Source organism: Homo sapiens, chromosome 3, assembly GCF_000001405.40.
Source record: "Homo sapiens chromosome 3, GRCh38.p14 Primary Assembly".
Classification (NCBI taxonomy): domain Eukaryota; kingdom Metazoa; phylum Chordata; class Mammalia; order Primates; family Hominidae; genus Homo; species Homo sapiens.
This window is the reverse complement of record NC_000003.12, coordinates 167,578,606-167,596,823: the sequence shown is the minus strand read 5'-3', so window position 1 is coordinate 167,596,823 and position 18,218 is coordinate 167,578,606. Positions and strand designations below refer to the sequence as shown.

At 34.7% G+C, this 18,218-nt stretch overlaps 1 protein-coding gene across 4 annotated transcripts in view, besides 1 other annotated feature; it reads left to right on the top strand.

Annotated features, from left to right (window-relative positions):
• Positions 1–18,218, top strand: part of WDR49 (WD repeat domain 49) — a 179,240-nt gene that overhangs the window by 61,100 nt on the left and 99,922 nt on the right. The gene's annotated exons all lie outside the window — the stretch shown is intronic.
• Positions 2,926–3,095: an enhancer, noted in NCBI's record as "experimental_66573 CRE fragment used in MPRA reporter constructs". NCBI's record gives its function as "activates a minimal promoter by MPRAs in K562 erythroleukemia cells, with activity observed for both the introgressed and non-introgressed 3:167311602 variant alleles {active_cell/tissue: K562}" and the evidence as "EXISTENCE:reporter gene assay evidence [ECO:0000049][PMID:34662402]".

The following is an 18,218-nucleotide window of genomic DNA, read 5'->3' as shown; positions in this document are numbered from 1 at the left end:
TACATATGTATATATGTGCCATGCTGGTGCGCTGCACCCACTAGCTCATCATCTAGCATTAGGTATATCTCCCAGTGCTATCCCTCCCCCCTCCCCCCACCCCACAACAGTCCCCAGAGTGTGATGTTCCCCTTCCTGTGTCCATGTGTTCTCATTGTTCAATTCCCACCTATGAGTGAGAATATGCGGTGTTTGGTTTTTTGTTCTTGCGATAGTTTACTGAGAATGATGATTTCCAATTTCATCCATGTCCCTACAAAGGACATGAACTCATCATTTTTTATGGCTGCATAGTATTCCATGGTGTATATATGCCACATTTTCTTAATCCAGTCTATCATTGTTGGACATTTGGGTTGGTTCCAAGTCTTTGCTATTGTGAATAATGCCACAGTAAACATACGTGTGCATGTGTCTTTATAGCAGCATGATTTATAGTCCTTTGGGTATATACCCAGTAATGGGATGGCTGGGTCAAATGGTATTTCTAGTTCTAGATCCCTGAGGAATCGCCACACTGACTTCCACAATGGTTGAACTAGTTTACAGTCCCACCAACAGTGTAAAAGCGTTCCTATTTCTCCACATCCTCTCCAGCACCTGTTGTTTCCTGACATTTTAATGATTGCCATTCTAACTGGTGTGAGATGGTATCTCACTGTGGTTTTGATTTGCATTTCTCTGATGGCCAGTGATGGTGAGCATTTTTTCATGTGTTTTTTGGCTGCATAAATGTCTTCTTTTGAGAAGTGTCTGTTCATGTCCTTCGCCCACTTTTTGATGGGGTTGTTTGTTTTTTTCTTGTAAATTTGTTTGAGTTCATTGTAGATTCTGGATATTAGCCCTTTGTCAGATGAGTAGGTTGCGAAAATTTTCTCCCATTTTGTAGGTTGCCTGTTCACTCTGATGGTAGTTTCTTTTGCTGTGCAGAAGCTCTTTAGTTTAATTAGATCCCATTTGTCAATCTTGGCTTTTGTTGCCATTGCTTTTGGTGTTTTAGACATGAAGTCCTTGCCCATGCCTATGTCCTGAATGGTAATGCCTAGGTTTTCTTCTAGGGTTTTTATGGTTTTAGGTCTGACGTTTAAGTCTTTAATCCATCTTGAATTGATTTTTGTATAAGGTGTAAGGAAGGGATCCAGTTTCAGCTTTCTACATATGGCTAGCCAATTTCCCCAGCACCATTTATTAAATAGGGAATCCTTTCCCCATTGCTTGTTTTTCTCAGGTTTGTCAAAGATCAGATAGTTGTAGATATGCAATGTTATTTCTGAGGGCTTTGTTCTGTTCCATTGATCTATATCTCTGTTTTGGTACCAGTACCATGTTGTTTTGGTTACTGTAGCCTTGTAGTATAGTTTGAAGTCAGGTAGTGTGATGCCTCCAGATTTGTTCTTTTGGCTTAGGACTGACTTGGCAATGCGGGCTCTTTTTTGGTTCCATATGAACTTTAAAGTAGTTTTTTCCAATTCTGTGAGGAAAGTCATTGGTAGCTTGATGGGGATGGCATTGAATCTGTAAATTATCTTGGGCAGTATGGCCATTTTCACGATATTGATTCTTCCTACCCATGAGCGTGGAATATTCTTCCATTTGTTTGTATCCTCTTTTATTTTGTTGAGCAGTGGTTTGTAGTTCTCCTTGAAGAGGTCCTTCACATCCCTTGTAAGTTAGATTCCTAAGTATTTTATTCTCTTTGAAGCAATTGTGAATGGGAGTTCACTCATGATTTGGCTCTCTGTTTGTCTGTTGTTGGTGTATAAGAATGCTTGTGATTTTTGTACATTGATTTTGTATCCTGAGACTTTGCTGAAGTTGCTTATCAGCTTAAGGAGATTTTGGGCTGAGACAATGGGGTTTTCTAGATATACAATCATGTCGTCTGCAAAGAGGGACAATTTGACTTCCTCTTTTCCTAATTGAATACCCTTTATTTCCTTCTCCTGCCTAATTGCCCTGGCCAGAACTTCCAACACTATGTTGAATAGGAGTGGTGAGAGAGGGCATCCCTGTCTTGTGCCAGTTTTCAAAGGGAATGCTTCCAGTTTTTGCCCATTCAGTATGATATTGGCTGTGGGTTTGTCATAGATAGCTCTTATTATTTTGAGATATGTCCCATCAATACCTACTTTATTGAGAGTTTTTAGCATGAAGGGTTGTTGAATTTTGTCAAAGGCCGGGTTTTGCTTTTCTACCACATGATTAGGTTGCAAATTTTCCAAACTTTTATGTTCTGCTTCCCTTTAAACATAATTTCCAACTTCAGACTATCTCTTTGGAATGAATATGACTGTATGCTTTCAGAAAAAGCCAGGTCACATCTTGAATGCTTTACTGCTTTGAAATGTCTTCTGCCAGATACCCTAAATCATCTCTCTCAAGTTCAAATTTCTACAGGTATCTAGGGCAGGGGCAAAATGCCACCAGTGTCTTTGGTAAAGAATAGGAAGTTTGACCTTTGCTCCGGTTCCCAGTAAGGTCCTCATCTCCATCTGAGACCACCTCAGCATGAACTTCATTGCCCATATCACTATGAACATTTTGGTCAAAACAATTTGACAAGTCTCTAAGAAGTCCCAAATGTTTCCACATTCTCCTGTCTTCTTATGAGCCCTTCAAACTTTTCCAACTTTTGCCCGTTACCCAGTTCCAATGTTGCTTCCACATTTCCAGGTATCTTTATAGCAGCACTCCACTTTCCCAGTGCCAATTTTCTGTATTAGTTTGTTCTCACATGGCTATAAGGAAGTACCTGAGACTGGGTAACTTATAAAGGAAAGAGGTTTCATTGGCTCATAGTTGCTCATGGCTGGGGAGACTTCAGGAAACTAAAATCATGGAAGAAGGTGAAGGGGAAGCAAGGCACATCTTACATGGTAGCAGGAGAGGCAGAACGAGAGAGGGGAACCACCGCACACTTTTAAACCATCAGATCTTGTGACAATTCCCTCACTATCATGAGAACAGCATGGGGGAACCTCCCCCATGATCCAGTCACCTACAACTAGGTCCTTCCCTCAGCACATGGGGATTACAATTTGAGATGAGATTTGGGTGGGAACACAGAGCCAACCATATCAGATAGCTACCAATAAGCCAAGACAGTGAAGACTACAATAAACACCTAACTCTTCAATGCCCAGACACCAAAGAACAGCTACTAACACCAACACCATCCAGGAAAACATGACCTCACTAAATGAACTAAATAAGGCACAATAACACATCCTGGAGAAACAGAGATATGTGACCATTCAGATGGAGAATTCAAAATAGCTGTGTTGAGAAAACTCAAAGATATTCAAGATAACACAGAGAAGGAATTCAGAATTCTATCAGATAAATTTAACAAAGACATTAACATTGTTAAAAAAATCAAGCAGAAATTCTAAAGTTGAAAAATGGAATTGACAAACTGAAGAATGTGTCAGTGTTTTAATAGCAGAATCAATCAAGCAGAAGAAGGAATTAGTGAGCTTGAAGACAGGATATTTAGAAATGCAGTCAGAGGAGGCAAAAGAAAAAAGAATGAAAATGAATGAAGCACACCTTCAAGATCTAGAAAACAGTCTCAACAAGGCAAATCTAAGAGTTATTGGACTTAAAGAGGAAGTTGAGAGAGAAACAAGGTAGAAAGTTTATTCAAAGGGATAATAACAGAGAACTTCCTAAACCTAGCGAAACATATCAATGTCCAAATACAAGAAGGCTATAGAACACCAAGCTGATTTCACCCAAAGAATACTAACTTGAGACATTTAATAATCAAACTCCCAAAGGTCAAGGATAAAGAAAGAATCCTAAGGGCAGTAAGAGAAAAGAAACAAATAACATAAAATAGAGCTTCAATATGTCTGGCAGCAAAATTTTCAGGGAAATCTTACAGGCCAGGAGAGAATAGCATATTTAAAGTTCTGAAGGAAAATAACTATATCTTGCAAAAATATCCTTCAAACATGGAGAAATAAAGACCTTACCAGACAAACAAAAGCTGAAGGATTTCATCAATACCAGACCTTCCTACAAGAAGTGCTAGAGGGAGTTCTTCAATCTGAAAGAAAGGAATGTTAATTAGCAATAAGAAATCATCTGGCTAGGAGCAGTCGCTCATGCCTGTAATCCCAGCACTTTGGGAGACTGACGTGGGAGGATCGTGAGGGCAAAAGATGGAGACCGTCCTGCCCAACATGGTGAAACCCCATCTCTACTAAAAATACAAAAATTAGCTGGGCGTGGTGGTGTGCACCTGTAGTCCCAGCTACTCAGGAAGCTGAGGCAGGAGAATCTCTTGAACCCAGGAGGTAGAGGTTTCAGTGAGCTGAGATGGTGCTATTGCACTCCAGCTTGGCGACAGAGTGAGACTCCATCTCAAAAAAAAAAAAAAAAGAAAAAGAAAAAGAAATCATCTAACGGTACAAAACTCAGTGGTAATAGTAAGTACACAAAAAAACCACAGAATATAACCCTGTAACTGTGCTGTGTAAGCTATTGTTATCTGAAGTAGAAAGATTAAATGATGAACTAATCAAAAATAACTACAATAACTTTTCAAGACATAGACAGTACAATAAGATATAAATAGAAACAACAGAAAGTTAAAAAGTTAAGGAGCATGAAGTTAAGGTATAGGGTCTTTATTAGTTTTCTTTTTGCTTGTTGGTTTGTTTATACGAATAGTGTTAAGTTGCTATCAGTTTAAAATAACGGATTATAAGATAGTATTTTCAAGCCTCATGGTAACCTCAAACTAAAAAACATACAAGGAATGAACAAAAAATACAAAGCAAGAAACTAAATCATATGACCAGTGACAATCACCTTTACTATAAGGAAGACAGGAAGGAAAGAAAGAAGGAAGAGAAGACCAGAAGACAACCAGAAAACAAATAACAAAATGGCAGAAGTAAGTCTTTACTTGTCAATAATAGCATTGAATGTTAATGGACTAAACTCTCCAATCAAACGACATAGCAGAGTGATTGGATAAAAAAAAACAAGACCCAATTATCTATTGCCTACAAGAAAGACACTTAACCTATAAAGACACACACTGACTGAAAATAAAGGAAGGAAAAATGATATTCCATGCCAGAATGGAAGAACAGGAGTCCCTATATTCATATCAGACAAAATAGATTTCAGGCCAAACCTATAAGGGACAAAGAAATCATTATATAATGATAAATGAATTAGTTCAGCAAGAGAATATAACAATTGTAAATATATGTGTACCCAAAACGGGAGCACCCAGATATATAAAGCAAATTTTATTAGACTTAAATAGAGAGATAGACCACAATACAACAATAGCTGGAGACATCAACACCTGTTTTTCAGCATTGAGAAGATCTTCCAGACAGAAAATCAACAAAGAAACATCAGACTTTGCACTATAGAAGAAATGGACCTAATAGATATTTATAGAACATTTCATCCAACTGCTGAAGAATACAAAATCTTTTTCTGACTACATGAATCATTCTCAGAGATAGACCATATGTTAGGTCATGAAACAAGTCTTAAAACATTCAAAAAATTTAAATAATATCAAGCATCTTCTCTAATCACAAGGTACTAAAACTAGACATCAATAACAAGAGTAATTTTGAAAATTGTACAAATACATGGAAATTAAACAATATTCTCCTGAATGACCAGTGTGTCAATAAAGAAACTGAGAAGGAAATTGAAAAATTACTTGAAACAAATGACAATGGAAACATGGCATACCAAAACCTATGGGATACAGTAAGAGGAGTACTAAAAGAGAAGTTTACAGCTGTCATCAAAAAAGAGAAAAAACTTCAAATAAACAACCTAATGGTGCCTCTTAAAGAATTCAAAAAACAAACCAAACCCCAAATCTGTAGAAGAAAAAATAAAGATCAGAGCAGAGATAAATGAAGTTGAAATGAAGAAAGAATACAAAGATCAATGAAATGAAAAGTTGGTTTTGGAAAAGATAAACAAAATTGACAAAACTTTAGCCAGACTAACTTAGCCAGACTAACTTTCTAGCCAGAAAAAAAAGAGAGAAAACCCAAATAAAATATAAAAGTACAGATGAAAAAGGATATATTATTACTGACACCACTGAAATTCAAATGATTATTAATGGCTACTATGAGCCACTATATGTTAATAACTTGACAAATCTGGAAGAAATGGATAAATTCCTAGACATATACGAACTACCAAGATTGAACCATAAAAATTTTCAAAACCTGAACAGACTAATAACAAGTAATGAGACTGAAGCCATAGTTAAAAGCCTCTCAACAACAAAAAGCCCAGGACCCAAGGGCTTTGCTGCTGAATTTTACCAAACATTAAAAGAAGAACTGGTACCAATCCTACTCAAACTACTCCACAAAGTAAAGGAGGAAGGAATACTTCCAAACTCATTCTACAAAACCATTATTACCCTGATACCGAAACCAGACACAGACACATCAGAAAAGAAAACCACAGGCAGATAGCCCTCATAAACATTGATGCAAAAATCCTCAACAAAATACTACCAATTCAAATTCAACAACACATTTAAAAAATCATTCATTATGACCAAGTGGGATTTATCCCAAGGTTGCAAGAATGGTTCCACATATGCAAATCAATCAATTTGATACATGATGTCAATGGAATGAAGGACAAAAACTAAATAATCGTTCCAATTGATTCTGAAAAAGCATTTGATAAAATTCCACATCTCTTCATGATTTAAAAAACTCAAAAAGTTTTGATATAGAAGAAACATAACTCAATATAATAAAAGCCATATATAAAAGACCAACAGCTAATATCGTATTGAAATGGGAGAAAGTTGAAAGCCTCCCATCTAAGATCTGAAGAATGCCCACTATGTTATTCAATATAGTACTGTAAGTCCTAGCTAGAATAATCAGACAAGAGAAATATAAAAAGGGCATCCAAATTGGAAATGAAGAAAGCACATTATCCTTATTTGCAGATAATAACATCTTGTATTTGGAAAAACCACTCCACCAAAGAACATTAGAATGGTAAGCAAATTCAGTAAAGTAGCAGGATACAAAATCAACATAATCAGTTGCATTTCTATATGCCAACAACAATCTGAAAATCAAGAAAATAATCCCGTTTAGAATAGCTACAAATAAAATTAAATATCTAGGAATAAACTTAACCAAAAGAGTGAAGGATTTGTATGATGAAAAGTATAAAACATTAATGCAAGACATTGAAGAAGCTACAAAAATGGAAAGATATTCCATGTTCATGGTCTGGAAGAATAAATATTGTTAAAATGTCCATATTACCAAAAGCAATATACAGATTTAATGCAATCCCTATCAAAATACCAATGACATTCTTCATAGAAATAGGAAAAACAATCCTAAAATTTATGTGGAATCACAGAAGACCCAGAATAGCCAAGGCTATCCTAAGCAAACAGAATAAAAGTGAAGGAATCACACTAACTGACTTCAAATTATACTATGGAGCTACAGTAACCAAAACGTCATGACACTGGCATAAAAACAAACACATAGACCAGTGGAATAGAATGGAGAATCCAGAAATAAATCCATACATCTACAGTGAATTCATTTTAGACAGTGGTGCCAAGAACATATATTGAGGAAAAGACAGTTTCTTCAATAAATGGTGCTGGGTAAATTGAATATCTATATGCAGAAGATAATATTAGACACCTAAATCTTGTCATATACAAAAATTAAATCCAAATTGATTATAGATTTAAATCTAATACCTCAAACTATGAATCTGCTAAATAAAAACATTGGAGAAACTGTCCAGAATATTGGACTAGGCAAAAATTTCTTGAGCAATACCCCACAAGCACAGGCAACTGAAGAAAAAATGGATGAGTGGGATCACATTAAGTTAAAATGCTTCTGCGCAGCAAAGTATACAATCAATAAAGTGAAGAAACAACCCACAGAACGGGAGAAAATATTTACAAACTATCCATCTGACAAGGGATTAATAACCAGAATATACAAGGAGCTCAAACAATTCTAGGAAAAAAAATCTAACAATCTGATTAAAAATGGGCTAAATACCTGAACAGACATTTCTCAAAAAAAGACAAATGGCAAACAGGCATATGAAAAGGTGCTCGATATTATTTATTATCAGAGAAATGCAAATCAAAATTACAATGAGATATCAAATTTACAATGTTACCCCAGTTAAAAATGGCTTATATCCAAAAGACAAGCAATAACAAATGCTGGTGAGGATGTGGATAAAAGGGTATTCTCATGCATTGTTGGTAGGAATGTAAATTGGTAAAACCACTGTAATAGAGCTAAAAATTGAGCTGCCGTATGATCCAGCATTCCCACTACTAGGTATATACCCCAAAGAAAAGAAATCAGTATATCGTATAGATATCTGCACTTCCATGTTTGTTGCAGCACTGTTAACAATAGCCAAGATTAGGAAGCAACCCAAGTGTCCATCAAAAGATAAATGGATTAAGAAAATGTGGTATTTACAAACAGTAGAGTACTACTCAGTCATAAAAAAGAGTAAGATCCTGTCACTTGCAATAACATGGTTGGAACTGGAGGTCATTATGCTGAGTGAAATAAGCCAGTTAGAGAAAGACAAACTTTAGGTGTTCTCACTTATTTGTGGGAGCTAAAAATTAAAACAATTGAACTGATGGAGATAGAAGAAGAATGGTTATTAGAGGCTGGGAAGGGTAGTGGTGGGGGAGGTTGGAGAGGAAGTGGGTATGGTTAATGGGTATAAAAAATAGAAAGAATTAAGAGGACCTAGTATTTGCTAGCACAACAGAGTGACTATAGTAAAAAATAGTTTAATTGTACATTTACAATATCTAACATAATATAATTGGATTGCTTGTAACACACAGGATAAATGCTTGAGGTGATAGCTACTCCATTTACCCTGATGTGATTATTACGCAATGTATATCTGTATCAGAATATCTCATGTAATCAATAAATATATACACCTACTCTGTACCCACCAAAATAAAAAAATTAATTAGAAAAAATGAAAAAGAGGGCTCGTGTGGTGCCTCACGCTTGTAATACCAACACTTTGGGAAGCTGAGGTGGGTGGATCACTTAAGCCCAGGAGTTCAAGATCAGCCTAGGCAACATGGAAAAACCCATCTCTACAAAAAATACAAAAATTAGTGGGCATGGTGGCGCACACCTGTAGTCCCAGCTACCCGAAAGGCTGAGGTAGGGCAATCATCTAAGCCTGGTAGGCTGAGGCTGCAGTGAGGCGTGATCATGCCATTGCACTCCAGCCTGGGTGACAGAGAGGGACCCTGTCTCAAAAAAGAAAAAGTGAAAAAAAAGGTCAGTGTCTTTTCAGCTTGTATTCTTGGTATTTATCACAGTGCTTGGCACCTTGTAGTGCTTATTCAATAGTTATATGTTGACAGCTTGAAGTGAAGACATATTACTTTGAGTCTAAAGTATCAAAAAACTTGAGTGAAACCTTTTATGATGCCCTAGTTAGATTTAGCTGGCCTACTTTTTGAGATCTTTTAGCACTTTGTTTCATTTCCATTATTGAATTTAACACAATCTGATTTGGATACCGGAGCATTGTATATGTATATTGTATTTTTCATTAGATTCTGACTGCTTGAAGGTAAAGATTATTTGTTGAATTTATTTTTGTGTTTCCCAAGACCTAGAAAATATTAATGTATTAAATACATGTTAAATATAATATATGAAACAGTATAACTATCAACTAAATGATAGGATTCATAAGGTTAGGGGCAATGTCTTTCTGGAATTATACCATATATATACCAGGTCCCCAATAAATTGTAGTTAAATAAGAGAATCTTTATCAAATATAAATATGAAACAAGTATCAGATATTTTGTCATTAAGACTTCCCCGAGAGGTTTTATAACGTAAAAGCAAGTGAAAAAATGTCTTTAGAGTCACAGGTGATTATGTACAGCTATCATCAATGCTAAGACTACCTGGCCTCTTCCAAAAACAATTTATCTTTCTATTTTTGTTTTGTTTGCATTACATTATAATGAAGCTTGTCATGTTGTCTTTCATGTTAGTCTAAATCTATTTCACTTTAATAAATGCATCGTGATCTCAGTCTTTACGTCTTTACAACAAACAACAATGCATTCTGCCACCAGGGTAAGCCTCTGCTTTATTGCTGTCAAAGTCTTTTGGATATTTTATAGGACTGGGGTTAAGTTAGAAAAAATGAAAACACATTATGTTTTCAAGAGCTTTTGATTGAAACATGTTTTGGTCAATGAATTGCTGAATTAGAAGATCTATAGACAAAGCAATTTAAATCTACAAAATTTTCTCCAAAAATGATCTGAAACTTCATTTCGTTTTTGGAAATCTTCTCTATTGCTATTTTCCAGTGGTGATTAAAGAGTTCAATCGTATTTTGCTTTGAACTCCTAAACTGATTCTCTTGAGATGGCAGTCACTGGTGGTAAGGCCCTGTTGAGGGCAAGTAACTTAGTCATTTGGAGAGGAACCACCATGGGGAGTAAAAAAGATTTTTGAAGCCTATGTCAAACTCTCTGATGGAGACTGACATTCAGCCTGTGGGCCTAATTCAGCTTTTTCATTACTCCTAACTATTCTCCCCGAGGCCACTAATCCTGATTTGGTCAGCAGAAGCAAATCAGTTTGTGGCTTAATCCTTTGTTTGAGGTTCTGATTTTTCTCAGAACCTGGCTTCTATATTGTAGACCTATGGTTGGTAAGAACAATACAATCAGAATTTTGTCTTACCATTTATCTTCTTTTCTTTTTTTCCACACTGTTCCCCATCCCGACTTCCATCTATCCATCCAGAAACAAAGGATTTTCATTTAAAGTACGCCGGTAAATGGATTAATGCCCTCCTATAAAAATTGCAAATGATGAGGAAGCATGTAGTGCAAAAAGTAAATATTCCTTATGATCATTTCCCCTTCAAATCCATTTCTTTCCCAAGGAATAACTATCATCAACCCTAGACGTGTATCTTCTTATATTGTTTTGCTATATACTTACTATGTTATACATAATAATGTATTATAATAATATGTCATTATAACAAAATACAACTTTATTTAATGTTATTATATATATTATCCTTTGAGTGTGAACAAATACAGGGTAGTATTTATTATTAGTTTTTATGTAAATGGTATCATATGACACATATTTTTTCTACAATTTGCTTTTTCCTAAACAGTATCTCTTGAAGATCTTTATAGATAGACACATAGATATACATATATCTGTATTTTTTGGCTATACAGCAATTCTTAGTATGGATGGCCATAATTTAACTACTTAATCACCTGTTGATTAAAGGAGATATTGTTTCTAAGTTGTTTATCTTTGTTAGCCATGACACACACACACACACACACACACACACACACACACACACACGCACCCTTTTAAGACCTCTTAGGTTAATGTTTTTGTAATAAGTTTCTAGAAGTTATGCTATTAGATCTCAAAGGCTTTACATAAATATTGCCTATTACAGTGAAGAAGTGTTGTACCAATAGGCATGCTCATCAGGGGTATATGAAAGTGTCTGTTTTCTCATATTCTTGTCAGCAGTGAAAATGTGTTCATTTTTGTGTGTGAACCTGATGAACAAAAACTAGGGTGAATTTCTTTTGCAAATATTTATTGGCCATTTATAGTTCTTGATTTTTGTGCAATATCTGATCATGCCATTTATCTAAGGAAAGCATTTCTTAGACTCAATATTATAAATATTTAAAACTTTTGAATGAAAAAAACAAAATTTAAAAATGTGTGCTCTAAAGAGGCAAAATATTTGCAATGCATATAACAAAGAAAAGATAATAAAAAATGTTAAGCTATTACGATCAAGAAAAAGATAGTCAAGACTTAAAAAAATGAGTCTAAGGAATGATTTTCTTTATGGCTCTAACCTAGACACAAATTTAGACACAAAATATTTTCCACATCTCCTATTTGTAAGTTATTATAAAAATATTCTTTATTTTCTGCTAATACTTTTTCTATTGTTGATTATTTTTGCATTTAACTTTATGGTTCATTTTTGTGTAGATTTTTTCTACAAATGGTTGCCTAAGGTTATTTTTTGGATAATCTGTCTCTACTACTGATTTGAAATGCCATTGTTATCATCATCTGAATTACTAAATATACATGAATTTGTTTGTATATGCTTTATTCTTTCCATTAATTTACTTGTCTTTTCCTATGCTAATATACGATGGTTTAACCATTCTCTTTTTTGTGTACTTTGATGCCAGGTAGGGTAATTCCTACTTATTGTTTTTCTTTTTCCATTTGAACTATCCTCCAACATATTATCCTTCCAAGTAAATTTTAGGATCAGTACAAATGTCCCATTCCCATGAAAAGCCCTATCAGTATTTGGATTGAAATTTCATTAAGTTTGGTAATGTTTGACATCTTTAAGATATTGAGAAAGAGCTCTCAGTATTTCTCTGTTTATTCACTCTTCACTATCTTCCATAAAAATTGCATGCTTTAATTTACATCCCATTCTAAGTTCAGATTTTTTTTCTCCATATTTTAGGAGGCATTCTTATCATATTCTTGACTTTCTTGAGGTTGTTTCTAATGGAGAGGAGGCCACTTTCTCTATTACTCATACACTGGGTTTTAATTTCAACTAACTTTTTTTCTAAAAGGTTTTCTTGAACTCTCTTGTAATTTTGGATAGTCTCTTGTTGCTTGTTCATTTAGGGGATTCTGACTTGTAGCTCTTTAATGTTATACCTAATTATTTTACATTCTTGCTTGTAATGAGAATATCTGGAGTTCATTGTGTTCTAAACTTGATATTTGCTATTCTGGTGATTCTTCCTCATAGTGACTTGTTTCCTTTTATGCTTGATTATCTTTCTCACTCCCTCATTTTTTACTGTTACTAATATATAGTTATTCTGAGGAACTAAATTGAAGATGCTTTCTTCCAGAGAAGATTTGTGTTTGTTTCTGTAGGGTATAATGAAATGTGCAAAACTACTGTCTTGAGGCTACTGCATTCTGCATCTCAGTTGTCCAGTTTAACAGTCTCACCTCAATGGCTGTACCTTGCTATTGGGCCAAGGCTTAGGCTTCTGGTTGTTGTTCTTTCCTTTATGTCTACTGTTCAGTGTCCCCATTTTAAGTTTGTTTCTTTTTCCCTTGTTTTTTTGGACCCATGGAAATACTTCTTACTCCCTGAAGGCCCAGCAAGGCAACAGAAATTATGCTTTATTTTTCTGGATTTTTTTTATAGAGACAGGGTCTTTGTATGTTGTCCAGGCTGGTCTCAAGCTCCTGGCATCAAATGATTTTCCCACCTCGGCCTCCCAAAGTGCTGAGATTACAGATGTGGCCACCACAGCTAGCCAAAAATTATGTTTTATTCAGAACTGTATTTCTTTGAAGCAGGAAGACCCCTTACAAAAACCTAGTTTTTAATGATAATTTAATCGGAATTCTCATGCTGTAGCTGCTTTTGATTTTTTTTAAAGTTGTTAGTATAAATATTGAGTAAAAAAAGAATTTTAAAATTTAAAGAGTTTTAATTTACATTGTAAATTAAAAGAGGAGCTGTGATCTTTGAAAGTTAAACGACATTTTTAAAGGCAAAAATTCTGTTAAGGTTTTAATGTTATGTGAATAATGATAATTGCAAGAATCAAGCTGAGATTTAAAAATTCTCCAAATGAACTTCTGTCCTGAAAAAAGAAAGCACCTTAAATGAAATGTTGGCATTAGTTAAATTTATTGCAAATTTGTTTTTCTCTCTCTCTCTCTTTCTCTCTCTATCTGTGTGTGTGTGTGTGTGTGTATGTGTGTGTGTGTGTGTGTTTGTTTTGAGACAAAGTCTTGCTCTATTGCCCAGGCTGGAGTGCAGTGATCTTGACTCACTTCAACCTCTGCTTCTCAGGCTCAAGCAATTCTCCTGCCTCAGCCTCCCATGTAGCTGGAATTACAGGCCTGCACTATAATGTCCAACTACTTTTTTGTAGTTTTAGTAGAGATGTGATTTCACCATGTTGGCCAGGCAGGTCAACTCCTGACCCCAAGTGGTCTGCCTGCCTCGGCCTCCCAAAGTGCTGGTGTGAGCTACTGTGCCCAGCCTATTGCAAATTAGAACTGGGAAATCAATGAGATTTCTGCCCAACAATTCAGAGTTGTTAGACAATGTTTTGCCTCTTTTAAGGTCAATGAAAGAATAAACAGACACATAGTGGAAATTCGAGTCTTAGAGCTGTGTGTCTTCTCTCATTTCTGTTGAAGAGAACTAAAAAAAAATAGTATAACTATTATAATAGTTATAGTAGCAATTTAAAGATAAACGGCAGAAGAGAAGATTTTAATTTCAAACTAGTATTTTAAGTTTGATTTTAGTCCTGGGGAAAAAAATAGCAAAAATCTTTTCTGAAGGAAGAAATGTTATATGACTTTAAGATAAAAATGTTAGCCAAGGTATTCAGTAGAATAGTTCTGCTAGCATACATCATGTCAAACAAAATTGTCTTTAAGCATTTACTGATTATGCTTTTGTGGATTACTGAGAGGCTTAACTTCTAAATAAATAGATTGTTAGTACATAAAAGTGTGTTCAGGAAAAGCAATGCCCTCCATTCCTGTTATCCTATTATCTGCAAGTATGCTATCCATTTGTGTGGATTGCTCCCGGTGAGCTGGGCTGCTGCACTACTGTACTCAAAAATCCCCTAGCAATACACACACACACACACACACACACACACACACACACACGGAAGCATGCCCACACTCTCCCTTTTTTCTTATTGTTATTTTATATCTATCTCTAACAGGATAACAGGAGTTAGTAAATGTTTGATAAAGCCAAGCAGGTCTCCTTTAAATGGAGTCATGTGAGTCTGTTTTCTACTTCTCCTTCACTTTTATGCCTTTATGAGGAAATTACAAATTGTTTTATTTTCTGACTACTTTGAATTAAACATGTTGCTAGTATGTAAATAATACTGATTTGGATTTAAAAGTGCACTGAAAATAGATTTTCTATCCATTCACACATCTATTTATACCCCTACCTATATCTGTGAAGTTATCTACTTATAAATGTAACATTTGTAGCACAGAAGAAAAGCTTTATTTCATTATTTACTTGTTGATTTATTATAGTTCTATGATGCCTGTGTGAATAATAGTGATTCTGTCCACCTCTGGCTGGGAGTAGGGGATTCTTCAGCAAAGCTAGGCTGAAAACATGGTGATGTCCTACATTTCTTTGATTCAATCCTCACAATGTACCTTTTTAATTCGTTTGAAATATTGTTATTTTAGAATATTTAGATAATGGATTGAGTAATTTGACTACATTGTAGACAAATTTGACAGAATTCCAGAGTTGGTAGGGGCCCCTTCAGCAGAAAGATGAGAAAATGGAAAGATAAAAATCACATACCTGAACTGCCTAGGATGAAAACTAGGATTGGGTGTCTGGAGTCTCAATCCATTGATTTCTAGGTCTATTGTGTATAAGTAATACAGTATTCACTTGTAATATTGCATTCCTATAAGGTTAACGGTTAAAAGAAGATAAAGATTATGCAAGAAAATGTCATTATCATTATTTGAAAAGCTATATGATATTACTAATTATGGCAAAATTTATTTGCCTTAATATAAAATCATAAACTTAGGTGCTTATTCTTGTTAATCTACAAGTGAAGATGAAATACAGAGCTCCCAAACATGCCCGTTCATGGACTTGACTTAGTAAGCCTGAGTTTAGACAGATATCACAAGTTCTCAGATATAATGATGCAAATAGATACAGATCAATTTAAATAAAACTTTGTGGATAATACAAATTAAAAAAATTATTCCATTGTAATTTTTAAGCTTAAAAGTTTGTGAATCTGTTTTCTCTACTAAAAATAAAGAAAACCCTTCTAGGATATCTGAAATGAAAATTGAAATTAAACATATTCCTTTCTGAACTGTGGTTTAATTCTATTCCAGAAGTCAACTTGAATATAAAAGAAGGTGAGAACGCAGGATTCTCAGATAATAACTAGATATTTAAGTGACATTTTTGTCAAAGGACTTGATTAATAAAACTGAATTAATGTGAGGGCTTTTATGATTAGAAGGATATAGACTGAATAAAAAAGAAGGGGAATACAATTACCTGGTTTAAAGCTAAGCTATGCGATATTACTAATTAAGCTGAGGGAAAGATTTCTTTTTCAAGGAGATTATCATTGACCTTAAAACAAAACAGAGAAGTTAGGTATAATGCAAAGGAAATGCCTGGGAATAAAAAACTAATGTCTGAGCCCCATCCTCAGAGATTCTGATTTAATCGGTCTGGGAAAGGGCCAAAGCATAGGAGATTTCTCGAGCATCATAGGTGTTTCTAAAGTCAAGTTTAAGAACCACTGGCAGGGAAAATTAAGAACATAAGGGAGGTCATATACCGTCACCCATTTTATGCTTTTATGGCTGTACTTCAATGCTGTTGCTTAATTCTCAGCAGAAAGCAAAATTAGAGAATTAAAGATGGAAGGTGGACTTAGTGGGATCGTTAGTTGAGAGAGTTTAGGGTTGCCTAGAAGAAGAAGAACAGTAAACATTAATTTAAAAAATTAACAAATGTGCACATTCTGAAAAAAATTTCTAGTTTTAATTGCTAACAACAAGAAGTAACCTGTTGTAGACTAGACAGGTTATGGCTCACCTGTTTTTAATTTATCATATAATTTATGTGACTAAATGTCAGTGAAATATCAAATCCAATATAAATTACTTAACACAATGAAAAATGATTCTGGAGAAATTATAGTTCATCAGTACTGTGGAGTTATTGTCAATGTGTATTCAACTATACCCTATATTATTATTATGACATGAAGTTAGTTTCTATTTCTTAGAAGGGGTCCATACTAAACAAGACAGGATTTTGAATGATGAAGACGTGATTATCATTAGTAATATGAGTATTTGAGAATGATCTAGATGTGTCTAATTTTATAACTGTAACATTCAAAATAAAAGCTTATCAATTCTATTTATATTTATAACAGAATTCATGTTTTTTAAGATAAACATTTCCTGGAGAGCTGCCAGAATGTTTTAAACAATTTTTTTAAAATTTTTTTAGTGATGATTAAAAACCAGAATGAGTTCTTTAATAAAAATCTTTGGCAAGAAAACCCAATTTTCTCTATGAATATACATTCTTAGGGTCAGAGGGTTTGGTGATGTGGTTTACCAAGTAGAGACTGACTAGGTTAGTTCAAGCTTGTTATAAGGGCTGGTAGTTAGAGTAAATGGAGACATTACCCTATGCTAGAAGCATAATTATTTCTGTAAGATATTTTAAAAAGTCCCATAAAATTTCATTGAGGATTATGTGAGAACTGCAATTGGGTAAATAAATATGTGGAAGTGAGGCAGACTTTTTTGTGGGAGTGTTGTATTCTTGGGCATATCCTGTTTGATCTTTTCATCAATGATCTGGGTATAGACAGAGTGAGCCACAATCTTTAATTCAAAAAATATTTATTGAACACTACCTATGTCTGTATTAGCCCATTTTCACACTGCTATAAAGAATTACCTGAGACTGGGTAATTTATAAAGGCATGGTGAGGAACTGACTCACAGTTCCACACAGCTAAGGAGGCCTCAGGAATATACAATTATGGCAGAAGGTGAAGGGGAATCAAGGGCCTTCTTCACATGACGGTAGGAGAGAGAAGTGCGAGTAGGGGAAAAGCCAGATGCTTACAAAACCATCAGATCTTGTAAAAACTCACATACTATCACAAGAACAGCATGGGAAATTAGGATTCAAAATGATATTGTCACTTGAAACTCTAGATCAAAAATAGGGAAAATTTTAGTCTTAATTAAAAAATATATTTTTGGAAACAGGATAGTAGACATCTGGCTTGGTTATTTGTTCCTGGGAATAATATATAGAATTTTGCTCAATTAAGACATCAAGGCAAGTGAAAAGCATGATGGAGAGGCTTAATCAGCTAATGCAAAAATAGGCTGCTTTAAAGAAATCATAGCACCTGTAATGATTAGAACACACTGGAAATATTGGCTCCATTCTGGATGACTTGCTTAAAGCAGATCTTTAAAGATTTTTAGGTGCTTACAGATAGTGTTAAATTAGTGGGTCAATAATTAATGTATAAACAT